The following is a 17,373-nucleotide window of genomic DNA, read 5'->3' on the forward strand; positions in this document are numbered from 1 at the left end:
GCTTTGTCCGCCGCCCGCAGCCCCCAACACCCTGGCCGCCCACCCGAGCTGTCCCCTCGCTGGGACCCCGCGCAGCCTGCCCAGTCCCCCGCCCAAGACCTCGAGGCCGAAACCTCAGGTCCTTGGATATCTGGATCCCCTCGCACGCCCTTGCCTCTGGGCGGGAAACTGAGGCGGAGAGCCTCCGGGCACTCGAGGACGCTTGGGTTCATCCGCATCCTCGAGCCTGCCCGCCTAGTCCAGCCAGCCCCCGCGGCGGCGGCGAGGGGCCGGGCGAAAGCTTTCGGGGCTTCCGCAGCAGGTACGGCCCCCGCCCCACCCCCGGCCAGTGCGAGCTGGCCCGGAGCCGCCGACCTTCCTCAAGGTGCCCGCAGGCGTTTCCTGGGCGATCCTGGTGCAAAGCGAAGGCGCGCGGGAAGCGCAGTCTGGCTGCGGCCCAGCCCGGGGGCACCCGCGGTGCCCTGACCTTGGACAAGTCCTGGGTCTCGGGGGGCTGCGAGCCAGAAACCACGGGGACGCTGTGGCCTTAAGAGGCCGCTGGCAAGTGCAGCCTCGGAGTTTCCAGACCCCAACCCTGGGCCCTCTTCGCAGGGGACAAGTTTACCCGACCCCCAAAGGCAGTCCCCGGAGACTTCAGGCAAAGATGGGAGGAAACGCTAATAAACAATAAGCATAAGTGCGATTAAAAAAAAAAACTGATCTCACGAATAACCAGAATCATGCAAATTAAGCAGTGACTCCACCTGCCCCTACCCCCAACACTCCCAGATCGACCCCAGCCATTGCTGGCTTTGAGCTGGAATGCGGGAAGACAGGCGTCCACACGCTGCCTGCAACTTAAATTGCTGCATGCTTTTTGCAAGATAATTTGGCAGAATCTATTAACGTTAACAATGTTCGAACTCCGTGACCCAGCAATCTCCCCTTCTAGGAATGCAGCCCTTAGAAAGGATGTCTCAGTTCTCTCCACTAATGGACCAAGAGATCTGTGGAGGGAAAAACAAACATAACTGGATACAACCCGATGCCCCATCAGGCGGGAGTGGCCAAGGGTAGGGAGGCATCTGCTTGCTGTGGAATATTATGCAGCTGTTAAGAGGGGGAAGTGGAGGATGTGGGGTTAATATCCATCAGGGACCCTCATCTGTTGCTCTGTGAATAAAGCAAAGAAGGGGGGAACTCTTATCTGTGGGTATATTTGATACAAATCCCTCCAGCAGTGGCACAATGAGCACCTAACAGGTGCCAGCCGCTGGGGATACAGCAGGCAGCGAGGTACACAGCGCCTGCTGCTGGAAGAAGACTGGCCATGAGCCAGCAGCCCAACAAACCAGATGACATCAGATCGGTGCTGCTGGGGCCAGGGGGACACAGAGCAGTGGCGTTCCAGGTATAAGGGACCCCGAATAGGTGCCTCAGAGCAGAAGGCACCAGAGCCAAGGCCCAAAGGCAGGGGAAGCCTGTTCGCCTCTGCCTATGTGAGCATCGGTGTGGGGGCCTTTTCTCCTGTCTCATCCCCATGGTCACTGCAGAGGAGACACATGCCTCTTTGCTCCTTGGCATGCTTCGTCCTGTTCCAAGCCAGCATTTTTTAGACTTAATAAAACCAACCCATGTAAAAAGGCAAACGGCCCCTCTGGGCTGGCCAGACAGCAGGTGTCCCTTAAGCCTGGAATTCCTGCACTCTGTGCCCCGTGCAGCCTCTTCGCCCAGTTTTAGAAATTTCTGCAGCTGCCCACCTGCTACCCCACAAAACCTGAAGGGCTTAAGTTTCTGTTTCTGGAAGGGATAGCTGCAGCCCCTGGAGGCAGACTTGGGGGGAGGGAGAGACTTGGGGGCCACACTCAGGACTTCCTCTGTCTTCAGCAACTGCAGCTTCTCAGAAGGCCAACCCTCCCCTCTCTCACCCTCCTGGCTGAGAGCCTAACCTGCTTCCCAGGTCCCCCATGGGAAAGGACCCCCTTTCCCCTTTCCTGAAGGGGGCAGCCCCTCCCCCCAACACCTGTGGTTATTTCTCGTCAGGTGGGATGAGACTGAGAAAAGAAATAAGACACAGAGACAAAGTATAGCGAAAGAACAGTGGGCCCAGGGAACTGGTGCCAGCATATGGAGGACCCGCGCCGGCACTGGTCTCTGAGTTCCTTCAGTATTTATTGATCACTATTTCTACTATTTCAGTGAGGGGGATGTGGCAGGACTTTAGGGTAATGGTGGGGAGAGGGTCAGCAGGAAAACATGTGAGCAAAGGTCTCTGTGTCATAAATAAGTTTAAGGAAAGGTGCTGTGCCTGGATGTGCACGTAGGCCAGATTTATGTCTGACTTTACACAAACATCTCAGTGCAGTAAAGAGCGGTATTGCCGCCAGCATGTCTCACCTCCAGCCATAAGGCAGTTTTCTCGTATCTCAGTAAATAGAATGTACAATCGGGTTTTACACCGAGACATTCCATTCCCAGGGAGGAGCAGGAGATAGATGCTTTCCTCCTATCTCAACTGCAAAGAGGCCTTCCTCTTTCACTAATCCTCCTCAGCACAGACCCTTTACGGGTGTTGGGCTGGGGGATGGTCAGGTTTTTCCCTTGTCACGAGGCCATATCTCAGGCTGTCTCAGTCGGGGGAAACCTTGGACAACACCCAGGCTTTCTTGGGCAGAGGTCCCTGCGGCCTTCCGCAGTGCATCGTGTCCCTGGGTACTCAAGACTGGAGAATGGCGATGGCTTTCACCAAGCACACTGCCTGCAAACACATTTTAACACAGCACGTCCTGCACAGCCCTAAACCCATTAAACCTTGAGTCAACACAGCACATGTTTCTGCGAGCACAGGGTTGGGGCTAGGGTTACAGATTAACAGCATCTCAAGGCAGAAGAATTTTTCTTAGTACAGAACAAAATGGAGTTTCTTATGTCCACTTCTTTCTACATAGACACAGTAGCAGTCTGATCTCTTTCTTTCCCCTACACTTTCCCTCCACAGGCAAGGTCAGAACTGCAGATATGAGATCCAGAGGGCAGGGCTGCCTATGGCAAGCAGTGAGCCTGGCACTGGGGCGGCTCCGGCCTGGCGCCGCTGGTAACCCTCAGCTTTCTGAGGTGGGTGTTTTTGTCCCCAGTGTGCAGACAGAAGATCATTTTATTTTTGTTTTTATTCTGTTGAGACAGGGATCTTGCTGTGTTGGCCAGGCTGGTCTCAACGTGCAGATAGATCAGAAGTTGGGTGACAGAGGTGTCCAGTCATGGGCCCAGCAATCCTTCCACCCTCCCAGAGCGCCGGCCCTGTGCGAGCCTGCCTGGGGCAAAATGACAGTGTACGGGGGCCAGGCAGCTGTGACGGGGACAGCAGCAGCAGATAACAGTGGGGAGGTGGCCCTCAAGGCCTTCAGACCTAAATGTCAGGGTGAGACCCCCCAGGCAGGGGCTGATTGGGAGCCTTAGTGTCCCCCAGAGCAGGTGCACAAGGAGAGGGGCTTGGAAGGTGCCAGCCTCCCCTCCAGCTGACCTCCCCTGTCCACAGCCCCTGCTCTCCCTGGGGCCCACAGGGGCTGCTTTGGCAGCATCCAGGCAGGAGGCTGCATGACGTTACCAGGCCAGTGTTTGGTCCAGGTTCCTCAGAAATCACACCTGGTTACACGTGAACCACTGGGCCTGGAGGGGGCTTCAAAGGAGGCCCAGGTCTTTTATCCACAGAACATGACCCGGCTCAGCAGGTCAGGCACAGGGCAGACTCCAGGCAGGGCACTGGACTCTATCCTTGTAGTCTGCTCCTCTGCAGAGTGCAGCCAGAGGCAGCATTGCTTCCTCCCAGTGCCCTGCCCCTGAGTTCTGCAGAGCCCGAAGAGGAAGCGGGCTGAGGTCAGGAGAGGGACAGGGGCTGACTGGGGATCACAGAGCACAGTGGGGTAGGAGGCTGTGCTGCTTAGAGGGGAGGGACTGCAGTCACGTGGTCCCTGCCAGGGATTTGGGCACAGCAGCCTCCCCAGTGGGCATCCTTCCTGCCTGTTCCCACCTTTCTTCAAATCAGCCATTGGTTCTCTGAAGCCGGTTTACTGGCTTTAATTCTTAATTAAGAGATAGGGTCTTGCTATGTTGTCCAGGCAGAACTCCAACTCCTGGCCTCAAGCAGTCCTCCCTCTTCAGCCTCCTCAGTGCTGAGCTTTGGGGGTTTATTGGCTTTAAATCCTAATCCCACTTTGACCTCACTGGCTGTGACTTCAGGCAAGTTATTTAACATCTCTGAGTTTCAGTTTCCCCATCTGTAAAGTGTTCCCTCCCTCCTAGGATCCTGGGGAGAAGTCAATGAGATGGCACAGCTGGGCATATACAGCATCAGCTCTTGTTAGGGGAGCCCCAATACAAACTCTGCACAGGGAATCATCAGCTGAGGTAGGGGGGATTGGTTCTGCTTGAGGACTCAGGCTGGGGACTGGGGCAGGCTCAGATGGAGCAGGTGGGCAGGGCTGAGGAGGCTGCCTGGAGGAAGGGGCACTGGAGGAGTTGACCAGCCAGTAATAGACAGAGAGGCAAGAGGGAAGTCGGAACCAAGGGAAACCACCGCCGAGTCACCAAGTCCTACCTTAGGCCCTTATAGGCACCCGGCCCTGACTCCACACCAACCACAGCTGAGAGGCTGGGGAAGAGAAACCCAAGAGAAGTGGAAAGTCAGAATCCCCCAGGGGAGAAATTAGGGGGTGACTCAGGCGGGTGCATCATCAAGGGAGAGAAGCATCCGCTGGAACACAGGTTCGGGAGCTGTGGAGGGGGCTGTTTCAACGTTGAGAGCAGAAGGCAGGGAGGCTGTAAGGCAGAAGTAGAGGCAGCTGGTGGCCAGCGTGGTGGCCCCACAGGGACAGGAGCCCACAGAGAGTGGGAGGCCATGGAAGGCCTCTCACCAGCTTACTCCTGGGGGCTCTCAGCCGCAGCTAGGGCAGGGACACAGAGGGGCTGAGGTTGGACCCCTAGGTTTCCATGATGGACCCTGAGAAGCCAATGCAAGGGCCACAAACAGCCTGGCCTGGCCTGCCCCAGAGGCGAGAGAGTTGAGAGTGCTCTACAGGCTGCCAGGGCTCCAGAGGGGAGCTCGCTCTGCAGGAGCCTGGCCACCTCATCTTACCAGGCTGGAGTGGCTGAGTGACTGGGGAGGGTGCCCTAGGGTCATTGCTAACTGGCTTGGGTTCGGGCGCAGGCTAAACCCTAGGCTGGGTAGGGGGGTCTCTGTTCCTCTCCAAGCTCTGGTCCTGAGAGCTAAGAGCTGGAGGAAGAAAATCCGTGTCCCCTGCCCCCGCTCCCCTGCACACACACTCCACAGAGGAGCCAGCTGGGAATGGTGTTGCTGAGACAGAACGCCACTCCCGCTTCCCTGTTCTGCCCATCCTCCAGCAGCACCTCCTCCAGTCTCCTGCCCAGGCTGCTCACCAGACCCAAAAGTGGGCCCAAGTCATCCAGTTCTCATTATGCCTTGGTTCGCAGGAGGGGACACAGGACCCCTACTCCCTCCTAGAAGCAGCTCTGCACTCAGGACAACGTGCCCCCGTCGGGGGAGGCAGGGCCTGGGCGGAAGGCCACTTCTGCAGACTTTTCCAGGCCCCCATCTGCTGCACAGAGCTCTGGCTGACCCTAGCCCAAGCCTTTTAGAACCGCCCCTTGACCTGCGATTCCTTTTCTGGAATTCATTTTAGGGCCCAGTCAGGGGTGTTCCCAGAGCAGTCTGCAATAACAAAATGTCTATGGCGAAGTGTCCTCATAGAGGACTGGGCAGTGAGCCACGGGCCAGCCCTCTGGTGAACCCCCAGGGGCCGTCAAAGGGGTCCGGGACAGCAGTGACAGCCAGGCCTTGGCTCCTGCCGCCCTTCAAATGTGCCTGGGTGCGACGGCAACCCGCGGCCGGCGGGGCGGGGGGACCTTTTGTTTGTTTGTTATTATTTGTAGAGATGGTGGGGGTCTCACTACGTTTCCCGGGCTGGTCTCGAACTCTTCAGCTCAGAAGAACCTCCCGCCTCGGCCTCCCAAAGCGCGGGATCACAGGCGAGAGCCACCGCGCCGGCCGGCCGCCATATGGATTTTGTCCAGTCTTTCGATCTTCCAGCGACCAGCAAATGTAAACAGAGCAGCTCACATGAGGGAAGAAGTCGCCCAGGAAACGTCCTCTGGGAGGGGCGGGAAGGGCAGCCTGGCGCTCCCAGGATCCCGTGCGCGGAGGGGGGGAGGGGGAGGCGGAGGCGGGGCGCGACGTCATCAGCGGGCGCGGAGCCGGAAGTGTTGTGGCCGCCGCCGCCGCGCGTCGCGGAGGCACGTGTGGAGCCCCGGCAGCAGGAGCGTCGCAGGTGAGACTCCGCGGGGTACAGGGTGGCAGGGCGCGGGTGAGGGTGACCCGGGCCGGGCACGGCGCGCAGGGCCTGTCCCTCCAGCCTCGCATGGGCGGCCCCCGCCGGCCCGGCCTGGCCCCTTGTTGCCTCTGCATCGGCTGGGCGGTGTTTGCGTGGACGGCCAGCTCCGCGTCCCCAGCCCCTTACTGGGGAGCCCTGAATCCTCTGTCATACCCTGCCACCTAGCCCCCGTGGGGGAGACTGGGGTGAGGAATCAAGCCTGGCTTGGAGGTGACCTCATTGACCATTTGCCTCTCCCCCGCCGGTGGACACCTCGCAAAGGCGCTTCCTCATCTCACATCTTGGGAATGGGAGTCAAGCTCCTGGAGAAGGGTGATGGGAGGGTCGGGTCCTCACTCCGGGAATCCTTGGGACCGAACTCCGCCATTGCCAAGCCTCAGTCTTTTCATCTCTGATTTAGGCTCATAGTCCCTGTCTCTTGTCCTAGACCAAGAAAGGCTTCAGAGGCCAGGCCAGAGTGCAGCGCTATTGGGCTCCCTGTCAGGCAGTGGCAGAGACTGAGGCTGAGCTAGCCACACCCCGCCCATGCCCACTGCTGGGATGTAGGCCTCGAAGCCTTCTACCTAGACCCTAGGCCCTCATCCTGCCTCCTGACTTGCTCATGCCTACACACACCCCTCCCCAGGTCCTTGGCCCTTGCCAGACATTAGCACCATGAGCTTCGTGGCATACGAGGAGCTGATCAAGGAGGGTGACACGGCCATCCTGTCACTGGGCCATGGTGCAATGGTGGCGGTGCGTGTGCAGCGTGGGGCACAGACCCAGACCCGGCATGGTGTCCTGCGGCACTCAGTTGACCTTATCGGCCGCCCCTTCGGCTCCAAGGTGACGTGCGGCCGAGGTGGCTGGGTGTATGTGCTGCACCCCACGCCCGAGCTCTGGACGCTGAACCTGCCGCACCGCACGCAGATCCTCTACTCCACAGACATCGCCCTCATCACCATGATGTTGGAGCTTCGGCCCGGCTCTGTGGTCTGTGAGTCTGGTGAGTTCCTCAGGCTGCCTCAGTTTAACGCAGAAATTGACACAAAGGTGGAGGTCAGAGCCTCCAGCCTGCCCTTCCTACAGACACATGTGGCTCCTCAGTTTCTATTTTCACATCTTTCCGGGATGCTGACAGCAGGGAGTGAAGGTGGAGGCAGAGAAGCCCGTTAGGAGGCTGGTGCTGTAACTGGAGTGAGAGGTGGTGGGAAATGGACCAGGAGGAGCTGGGGAGGACTGGTGCTCTAGTGAGGGTCCTGCTTGCCTTGGTGGGGCGTGGCCAGCTTGATGCTTGGCGCTGTCCTAGGTACTGACCGTCAACCTCTAGTCCTCCGTGCTGATGGTGAAGCAGAGAGAGTTGCCCCTTCTGGAAAGAGGCCAGGGCTACCCCGAGGAGCTCACTGTAGGTGGGGAGCCTTCCCCATCCTCATCCATGATCAGATCCTCACCTGCTACCAATGAATGTGAGCACCATTGTTGAGTCCAGGGCCTGGGCTGTGGGAACCCCTGCACATATACAGGTGCTGGGGCCGCCCAGTGTGGCGATTGAAGCCAAGATTGGCCCCAGGCGCTGATGCATCTAGGTTGTTGGTGGCGTGTTCCTCCCGGGCAGGAGAGCTAGGGTCCAGGTTCACGAAGAGTGCCTAGCACTGCCATGCTGGCTTTCTGAGGGCTGCAGGTCACCATGTCCCTCCCTGGGGTGTCTGGGTGGGAGGGGTGGAGAGCAGGACTTAGCCAACTCCATCAGCTGCTGCTCCTGTGCATCCTGTGGTGGGTGCTGGCCTCTCCGCCCCTGCCCCACTCTCGCGAGAGAGCTCAATCAAGCAGCACCTTCTCCTGGCCTCCTCAGATATGCCAGGTCCCCTCCTAGGAACCGTGAACTAGAGAGACCAGGTTCCTGCCCTCGAGGAGGGGGACACAGCCTAGGTGAGCATCTCAGTGCCGCTGGTTGCTGTGAAGCCTGTGAGACAGGGCTGCGTGTCTGAGGGGTACCCAGAGTGGGGACTCTCCAGCTAGGCCAGGCAGGGAAGACCTCTCTGAGGAGGGGACATTTGAGTTGAAAATGATGAGGAGGGACCTACGAAGAGCCAAGGGACAGCTCTGCACCAAGGAGGAGCCGTGCCGAGGCCCTGCAGTTGGAGCATGCTGCCGAGTCAGGCTCAGTGGGGGAGGCAGAGGGGCTGGGAGTGAGGTTGGAGGGGAAGCGAGCTCCACCCCGGAGGCTAACAAGTCTGACTTGCCCCTTAGTGGGAAGGGGGCATGGCCAGGCTTTGCAGAGGGGCGAGGCAGCAGGCTGGGGGCACCCAGGGGAGGGGCTGGACAGGTGGGGAGAGGGGCTGGCCCCTGAAAGGAATGTGGGAGGTGGCAGGACGTGGGACGGGATAGAGGGAGTGGAGGCACCTCCATGGGTCTGGCCCAAGCACTTGCGATGCTCAGCGCTATTTGGGTTCCAGGCATGGGTGGCAAGTGTGCAGTGGCTGCTCTAGCAGGAGTCTCCAGTGGAGGGGCCTGGGGATGGGAGTGGCATCAGGTAGATGGCCCCTGAAGCTGGAGTGGGAGGAGGGATGCAAGCCTTGACCCTCTCCATAAGACAGGAAGTCAAGCAGAGGGGCCATCTTGAGGGAAGCTGGGGAGGGAAGCTGGGGGCAGGTGCGCTGGGGAGGACTGGGGCCGTGTGGCTGGTGGCCAGGCCCTGCGTCCTGAGTCCAACCAGGCCAGGGCAGAGCCCCAGCCCCTGTGTGGTGGGGGCAGGTTTGGGCAGGCTTGGTGGGGGTGGGCTGTCTCAAGGGGACCAAGGAGCTTCTGGGGAGAGGTGGGCATGAGGACCGGCAGGGTGGGCCACTGTTGACGGGGATTGAGGAAGTGATGGGCCATGCATGGAATAAGACAGGGCTGAGTGATGGGATGGCCTCCCTGTCCCCCTTGCACAGATTTCCCCGGAGGCTCCAGGCAGCTGGGCTGCTCTCATTCCCTATACCTGCGCTAGGCAGGATAGGGCAGGGTTGCCACTGGCCTCGCCTGTGCCCACAACAGACAGCACGGCATACACAGCCTGTCAACCCCAGCTCACCCCTAGACAGGGTGCCCAACCCAGGGCTAGCCTGGGGCTTTAGGCAGCCAGGACCATACAGCCCTGGAATGACGCCCACCTGTAGCTTGGGGTCCTCCCAAGCCCTGTGTGGGTCTCCAGGGTGAGGTGGGGGTTGTTTCCTGGGAGGCTGTGGGTCCCGAGCAGTCCCAACTGATGCCTTGCCCATCCCTTCTTGTCCTGCCAGGCACCGGCAGTGGCTCTGTGTCCCACGCCATCATCCGCACCATTGCACCCACGGGTCACCTGCACACGGTGGAGTTCCACCAGCAGCGGGCAGAGAAGGCCCGGGAGGAGTTCCAGGAGCACCGTGTGGGCCGCTGGGTGACTGTGCGCACCCAGGACGTGTGCCGCAGTGGCTTTGGCGTGAGCCACGTGGCCGACGCCGTCTTCCTGGACATCCCATCACCCTGGGAGGCCGTGGGCCACGCCTGGGACGCCCTCAAGGTCGAAGGTGCATCCGGGGTTCCGGGAGAGGTACAGCCTGGGTGGGGGTGGGGCAAGGGTGCAGGACTGAGCTCCTGGGATCTCAGAGGGGTCCAGAGACCAAGCCACACCATGGCAGTGGCCAGGCCAGGGCCCCACTTTGGCCTGAGGTGAGGAGTGGGTCAGGCTGGCCAGGGGAGGCAGAGCTGGGGAGGATGGTCCCTGGCTGGGCCCTGCTCCTGGTCTCTGGCCTCTCCCAACCCCCTGATGGAGGAAGGTGGCAGCGCCACCCAAGTGCAGGGCAGGCCCGGCCGGAGGAGTCTGGAGTCCCCTCCCTGCTGTTTCCCAAAACCTCTCCTCCCCCAGGCTCTGGAGCCCAGGGAGCTGGCCCCTTTTAGGGAAGATGCTGGGTGCGGAGGCGGGGCAGCCCTGGGGAAGGTCGGGCCTCAAGCCAGGGAGGTGGCTGGGAGGCCCAGGGTTTTTCCCTTTTCTGGAGAAGGAGCAGCTCAGGCAGCAGGGGCCCCTTCCTTCTTCCCAGCTGAGAGTTGTATTCTGAGAGGGTTGAAGGGTGGAGGTGCTGGGCGCCCCACCCCACCTCAAAGATGAGCCGAGGCCTGGTGCGAACAGCAAGGCTGTGGCCGGGGGTCCCCTGCTGGCTCCAGCCCAGCCCTGACTCCTGGGTCCTGGTCTCTGCTGAGGTGGGTAGCTGTGGGGATCTCCACACCCTGCCTCCTAGGCTTCCTGCTCTGGGGACACTTCTGGGCCTGGACCATAGTCCCAGGGAGGCTGAACCCGGCAGAGCCTCCCCTGGGGCCCCCCTGCTGCCTTTGTGACTCCTTCCTCCAGCGTGGCTCGGGGAACCCGCGCCTGCCTCTGGGACCTGTCCCTTTCCCTGCGAGCTCCCCCTTCTGGGTCCAAAGGCTCCTGGCTCATTCATGGGCCCGGCATCTCCTGCCGGCCACGGGAGCCCGCTGGGGAGGATGCGGCATGCTCAGCCTCTGTGCCCTGTCTAGGCTGTTGTCACACAGCAGGTGCCTCCTCTAACCCCGAACCTCCTGGCGGCCCCGTGTTAGGGTACAGCTGAGGAGACCAAACCTCAGGGACGTTTGAGGACACTTGCCTGGGCCACATACCTCTACCCGGCCCTGGCTTCCCCAGGTCCTCCCTGCCAGGACAGGGACCCGGGCTGGGTTCTCATTCACTGCAGGCCAGGCCAAGTGAAGCCCGTGGCTGCCCTGGTGGGAGGCGGCAGGGAGGGGCTGTCATGCTCGGGCTCTGCTTCGAGTAGGCGCCTCCTGTTCCCGGGAGCAGCGACAGCCTCTAATTTCCTGTGACAGCAGCGGCCCCCGCACCGCCCCACGCTGCCGTGCTGTCAGAGCTGCTCCGGGCCCAGAGCTCCAGCAGCCCTGTGGAAGGCAGGAGAGCAGTGCCCGCTGTGGGCCAAGTGAGACAATGGCAGCGCGGGCTTGACCCGGTGCCTGGCACATGGGAGGGCCTGGCATGGCTAAGCTGGGTGACATGAACAGCGGCGCCAGGCCCCATGGGGGGCTGTCAGTTGAGGGCCAGGCCCCTCTGCCCTGCAGTCCCAGCTCTTGGAGAGCTTGCAGTCTGTGTTGGGGCTGTCTTAGGCTGGCCTCAGACCCTAGGGTGGGAGTCCAGGGATGCTAGGGCCAGACGGGCCAGGCTCTGCCACCCCTGCCCTCTGACCCTCGGGTCCTGTTTCCCACAGGCGGGCGCTTCTGCTCCTTCTCACCGTGCATCGAGCAGGTGCAACGCACATGCCAGGCGCTGGCAGCGCGCGGCTTCTCAGAGCTGAGCACCCTGGAGGTGCTGCCACAGGTCTACAACGTGCGCACTGTCAGCCTGCCACCGCCCGACCTGGGCACAGGCACAGATGGCCCTGCCGGCTCCGACACCAGCCCCTTCCGCAGCGGCACGCCCATGAAGGAGGCCGTGGGCCACACCGGCTACCTGACCTTCGCCACCAAGACCCCAGGCTAGGGGGCCGCCTCCCAGGGCACCAGGGAGCTGGGAGCACTGAAGGGCTGGGCAGGGAGGCCAGAGGCACCTTATATGGTCAGCGATGCCTGCCAGACACAGACGGTGGGGTGGGGCTTGGGGGCCTCCTGGGTGGCCAGAGTGGGACAGCAGGAAGGGCGGCTGTGATGGAGGAGCAGTGCTGGGGCTGGGCCTCAGCCATTCCTGTCCAGCCCTGTGGCCCATCCCAGCTGCTGTTTGTTGCCAATATGAAGTATCCACTGCCACAGGCTCCCCTGGGTGTTGAAGCCAAAGGGTGCAGGTGGGGGAGTCTGACCCCCTCCCAGGTGGGCCTAAGCAGGAAGGGGGTGGAGGAGGGAGGGGGGCATTGACCCTGAGACCACGCTGCGTCTGACCCCTGGGCCCCCACGGCCCTGGCTGCCCCACGGGGCCTGAGACCATCTCGTGCTTCTCCAGTCCCCGGGCCGAGGCTCCAGCCTTGGCCAGAAGCTGGGGTGAGCTGACCCAGAATCCCTGCCCTGCTCTCCCCAGCGCTAGGAGACCAGGCCAGCCCAGGAACCAGGGAGGTGACCCTGCTCTCTGGCCTCCTGGCTGATGTCACAGCACTGAGCTCAGCCCAGGCCTTCGTCCACTCATGTCCAAGAGGCGGGGCATCCCCCACCCAGCCAGAGCCCCTGACATGGGCTGCACTCGCTGAGGCCAGGCAGCGCTGCGGAGAGGAGCGGCAGAGTGGGTTGTCTGCCGCAGGCAACCAGGCAAGTGTGTCGGGGCTGGGGTGTGAATGCCAGCCTGTGAGTCCCGGAACTATGTGGGTACCCCTACCCCTCACAGAAGCCAAGGGCATGGAGGAGGTCCCTCCACAGTGACAACGGTGTGGGGTAGGGGAGGTGCATTCAGGACACCACCCAGGGACAGTGCCTATGTGATCACCTCTTAAAGGCTAAGCTTAGGGGCATTTCCCAAAGTGGGGACAGAGGGCAGGACGCCCAGGCTGGGGGCTCTCCTCGCCCGCCCTGGTGTCTGACAGCCTCAAGGAAGGAGCAGTGCCTGTGTCAGCCATGGGGCCCTTGGAGCTGCCGCTGGTGCCTAGGGGGCCTGGGTTTCTGCCCAGGCAGCCAGTGGCTGTTGGGAGCCTCTGTTTCCCCTGTGCTGGGGGCCTTGAGTGCTATGCTAGCAGGGGCCTGGCCCCAAGTGTGAGTGATGAGCAATAAACGTACCGTCCCCCTCTGTTCTGAGTGATCCCTAGCAGCCAAGGCCACCCCCAGCTGCTGTCTAGGCCAGCCCTACCTGCGCTCTGCCCCTGGTCCCTGCTCCTCCCTGTCCTGGTTTGGCATGATAGGCGCTCCAGTCTCCAGGACAAAGGGGCAAATGTGTGGCCACCCCCATCTGGCTGCAGAAAAGGCCACTCCTTCCTGGGGTTGGGGTGGTCCAGGAGTGCTGGGCCTTCTTCCACAGTCCTGGGCTGGAATTCAGTGTGGCTGCCTGGGTTACTTGTATGCGCCCCTGAAGGAAGGGTCCACTCCAGGCCGCCTGGTCCCTGCGAAGTGTCACACTGTGGGTCACCGGGGGCTGTGGCTAATGTGGTCCGGGAGGCCTGTGTCCCTGAGAGTTGCTCAGCCCTGCTCCGAGGGCTTGTCCTCTCCTTCCAGGACCCAGCTTCCCTTCTAACCTTGTTACTCACCTGGGGCACAGAGGAGGGGCCCCCAGTCAGGTTCAACATGGAAGTGGGTGACCCTAATGCCAGGAGCTTTGGGGTCAGGCTGTCCCTGGGGTGTCATGAACTGGGTGACGCACACCCCTGAGATCTCAGTTCCCCCAAGCCTGCCCTGCCCCTCCTGGCCACAGCAAAGGCCTGCATGGTGTCTGATGGGTGGACACCGGGAGGTGTTTCTTTGAGGCGCAGCTCCATGGTTTATAGGACACATAGGCCTCAGGCACCGTAGGGTCCAGGTTGTGCCCATTTTCCAGCCGGGGCTGGTTGCCCTGGTGGCAGCCCTGGGTGAGTCACCAGGGTCCGCACATGGAGAGCGGGAGGTCCCAGCCCACCCTTAGTTGTCACATGGGACAGAGTTGCTGTGTCAATCCCCTCGGCCCTGCTGCTCTGCCCTGCACACAGGCCCCCATGATGACCTTGAGCCTCCAGGCATCCACCCCCACCGTATGGCCCTCTAGACCCAGCTGGGCCTCACCCCACTCCCTCAGCTTGGATCCTCACGTGGCCTGGAGCCAGCATTAAACTCCTGTATGTCCTTCAAGACCCCTTCAAATGTCCTTTTCTCAGCATGCTTCCCCAGACATCTAATGCCCAGGCGGGAGAGTCCTGCACACCATGTCCCGAAGGAGTCCCCATAGCAGAGGAGCAGAAGGCAAGCAGCGCCCCAGTTCTGTGATGGGGAGCCTGACTTTCAGAGGTAGAGCTGGGCCCATGGCCGTGAGTGACCGATGAGCAGGCCCGGATGGTCAGCGCGAGTCAGCAGCACGGGCTCATCATGGGGCACGGATTCACCAGAAACTCCCTGCCTGGCCCAGTGTGTACTCGCCTGTGGCCCTCAGATTTTCCCTGGCAATTCCTCCCCGCTCACCCTGCTGTCCTGCACTGAGACAGTGGCACATGACTCCCAGCTGCCCAAGCCCTGGAAGGTCCCAGACCCTGGCTCTGACTCAGCTGCTTGGAGGGTCCTAGTCCTGGGAACTGCCCTAGAGCCGAGATTAGAGTACCCCTCCCTCAGGAAGCCCCGGGGTGTCAGCTGCTCCTGGGCCTCACTCTGCCCCACCCATGCCTGCCTCAGGGCCCAGCCCCTCACCCAAGAGCCCCAGAGGCCTGGGCCCAACCTGGGCTTCACGGGTGGGGACCAGGGCAGGGTTTCTGGGTGGGTGGAGGGCAGCAGGCCGGTGGGGGCACACCCTGTCTAGTAGCATGTGATGAGGCAGGGTTGCCCCTGAGGGCCCAAGAGGCCCTCACCCCTGCAGCCTAGGTCTGGGGCTGTCCCCTCCACTCCCTCTTCTCTGCCTCCATTGCGGCTTTGCTCTCTCCACCCACCACCTCTGGGCCAGAAGATGGAGGATACGTGGGCTGCCAGGGGACCCGAGTCCCCCAACAGTCCACTGCACAGGTAGGGAAACTGAGGCACAGAGCTGCAACTCCGGAATCCTGGCCATAAGTGGTTCCCCAGTGCATGACCCTAGAGGGCAGAGAGTTTTCAGGCAGAGTCCTGGAAGGTTCCTCAGAAAAGGAGACACCTGTGCAGGTGGACATTGGAGAAGGGTGGGCAAGTCATGCAGGGGGGTGGGAGGTGCCCCAGAAGCAGTGGGTGGAGAGGGTGCACTTCCAGCCTCTGGGCTGGCAAGTGCCATTTCCAAAGCTGCTCTAAGCAGGGTGGGCACTGGACTCAGTGCCCCCACAGCCCCGGGGCTGTTGGGCTCGCACGCCAGCCTGGAGGGGCCTTGAGCGAGAGGGTCCCCAGAGAGGGGCCTGGCTCCTGATGCCCTCAGGAGGGAGTGAGCAACTGCCGGGCCTCGCGCCCTGTCCTCACCAGCCACAGAGGGTGGGCGCTGTCATCAGTATGCATGGGTTGAGTGCCTCCCACGTGCCAGCCCCTGCCCATTCAGGACGCCCAGGCCTGCCCTTCGGGGCTCCCAGGAGCCAGACCCAGATCTGGGCACACAGTGCAGAGTGAGCTGTGGCTGCGGGAGCGGTGGTGGCCTGGACCCTGTGTGGCAGGTGTGGGTCGGTGTGGAGTGGGGGAGTGGACGGGCCTTTCTGTCTCAGGAGCTCTGCGCACTGCCCACTCCTGGACACTGGAACTTAGCCTCGAGAGAAGTCGCTTCCCGAGGTGGCCAGCGGGTTGGCAGCAGACAGGCTGGGTGCCAGGTGTGTGCACCCCGGAGCCAGCGGGTTGGGCCCTGCCCCCGGTGGGTCATCAGTGAACAAGGAGGGGCACAGTGGGACCAGCCTGCTGCCCTGCCCCAGCAGTGGCCTTGCCAGCCCATGGGCCCTCCCCACGCGGAGCCTCTGTGCCCAGGGGAGCCTGTGTGGCCCAGCCCGGTAGCCAGGACGAGGGCGTTTCAAAGTCAGGCCGCCTCCAAAGCAGTGGCGTTGGTGGGAGGGAATAACTTGCTCCCACCAGGCTGAGAATAGCTCAGAATTGGGTCACGCTCACCGAGATCTCCGGTCACAGCCTCCAGCCTTTGACAATAATCAGCTTTCTCCCCGACATCTGTCCCTTCAAAGAGGGGGCAGGCCAGTGCAGGCACTTCTAGAAGCAGCAAAGCAGAGGGGACGGGAGTGGGGAGGGGCGTCCTCACCTCCTGGCCCCCCATGGCAGGCCCCCTCCCTCCCATGCTCCCACCCCATGCTCCCTTCCGTGCCTCAGGTCCCACCAGCTTCCCGCGCAGGGCCAGGTAGGGGAGCAAAGCACGGCAGTGCCCCCTGACAGATGAGGACACCAGCTAGGGGCTGCGGGGAGGGTGGCGCCTGTGCCTGGCCCTCTGGTGCTCTGCCACCCATGCCCCTCAGCTCCTGAGACTTAGGGGCCTGCATGCCACTGCCCCAAGCCGCCCTCCTCTCGCCCCTCCCGGTCTGTCCTGGGCTCTTCTAACGTGGTTGAAGGGCATGGGTCAGAGCAGGCCGTCCTGCTCCGCCAGGCTTTTGGGGGCTTGTTTCCCCCAGCCCAGGACTTCACCCCGTGTCTTGTTTCCTATCCATTTTCCCGTGTCGGGCCCTCCTCATCCCAGAGCAGCCTTGAGAGGGCTGAGGTGGGTGGTGTCACAGGCCCTCAGAGCCTGCATCTGTGCTGTCACCTGCGTATGCTGCCACCAGGTGGGTGCTGAAGCCATCCTCGTAGCAGCATAGTAGGTGCCTCCTGCACAGAGAGATAGATATGCCTACCACATGCCAGGCACGCTGATTTTGGTTCTTTAATCTTTTTTTTGGAGACCGTCTTGCTTTGTCGCCCGGGCTGGAGTGCAGTAGCGCGATCTCGGCTCACTGCAAGCTCCGCCTCACGGGTTCACGCCATTCTCCTGCCTCAGCCTCCCGAGTAGCTGGGACTACAGGTATCCGCCACCTCGCCTGGCTAATTTTTTTTTTTTTTTTTTTTTTTTGTATTTTTAGTAGAGACAGGGTTTCACCGTGTTAGCCAGGATGGTCTTGATCTCCTGACCTCAAGATCCACCCACCTCGGCCTCCCAAAGTGCTGGGATTACAGGCGTGAGCCACCGCGCCCGGCTGGTTCTTTAATCTTTAAAAACCCACAAGGCAGTTCCCGTGTTCTAGGTGACGACACCATTGCTAAACTTTAGCCACAGGTATGTTCCTGAAGTGCCCGTGACACTAAGCATCTCAAGATGTGGCCCCTGGACCGGCTGGTCAGCGTCGTCCCCACCCCACCCCTGCTGAGCCGAAACTCCAAGGCAGGGCCCAGGGGGCCCCCTTTCCCCAAGCCTCCAGGTGCTCTGGTACTCAAATTTGAGAATCACTGCTGGAAGACCCGGGAG

General features: G+C 61.5%; 1 protein-coding gene across 1 annotated transcript, besides 4 other annotated features; it reads left to right on the forward strand.

Annotated features, from left to right (window-relative positions):
- Positions 131-1,016: an enhancer, noted in NCBI's record as "H3K4me1 hESC enhancer chr14:103989409-103990294 (GRCh37/hg19 assembly coordinates)". NCBI's record gives its function as "activates a minimal SCP1, AML or CMV promoter by ChIP-STARR-seq in naive H9 embryonic stem cells {active_cell/tissue: H9 hESC(naive)}" and the evidence as "EXISTENCE:reporter gene assay evidence [ECO:0000049][PMID:30033119]".
- Positions 6,182-6,231: a silencer, noted in NCBI's record as "silent region_6157". NCBI's record gives its function as "represses an Ori minimal core promoter by ATAC-STARR-seq in GM12878 lymphoblastoid cells {active_cell/tissue: GM12878}" and the evidence as "EXISTENCE:reporter gene assay evidence [ECO:0000049][PMID:35858748]".
- Positions 6,242-6,411: a silencer, noted in NCBI's record as "silent region_6158". NCBI's record gives its function as "represses an Ori minimal core promoter by ATAC-STARR-seq in GM12878 lymphoblastoid cells {active_cell/tissue: GM12878}" and the evidence as "EXISTENCE:reporter gene assay evidence [ECO:0000049][PMID:35858748]".
- Positions 6,255-14,132, forward strand: TRMT61A (tRNA methyltransferase 61A). The gene is made up of 4 exons (NM_152307.3): positions 6,255-6,320; positions 7,009-7,368; positions 9,641-9,907; positions 11,609-14,132. The coding sequence occupies exons 2-4, from the start codon at positions 7,038-7,040 to the stop codon at positions 11,878-11,880; spliced, it is 870 nt and encodes a 289-aa protein (NP_689520.2). The 5' UTR covers positions 6,255-6,320; positions 7,009-7,037; the 3' UTR covers positions 11,881-14,132.
- Positions 9,927-10,426: an enhancer, noted in NCBI's record as "H3K4me1 hESC enhancer chr14:103999205-103999704 (GRCh37/hg19 assembly coordinates)". NCBI's record gives its function as "activates a minimal SCP1, AML or CMV promoter by ChIP-STARR-seq in naive H9 embryonic stem cells {active_cell/tissue: H9 hESC(naive)}" and the evidence as "EXISTENCE:reporter gene assay evidence [ECO:0000049][PMID:30033119]".
- Positions 14,133-17,373: the final 3,241 nt, after the last annotated feature.

The sequence above is a fragment of the Homo sapiens genome, chromosome 14 (assembly GCF_000001405.40).
Source record: "Homo sapiens chromosome 14, GRCh38.p14 Primary Assembly".
NCBI lineage: Eukaryota > Metazoa > Chordata > Mammalia > Primates > Hominidae > Homo > Homo sapiens.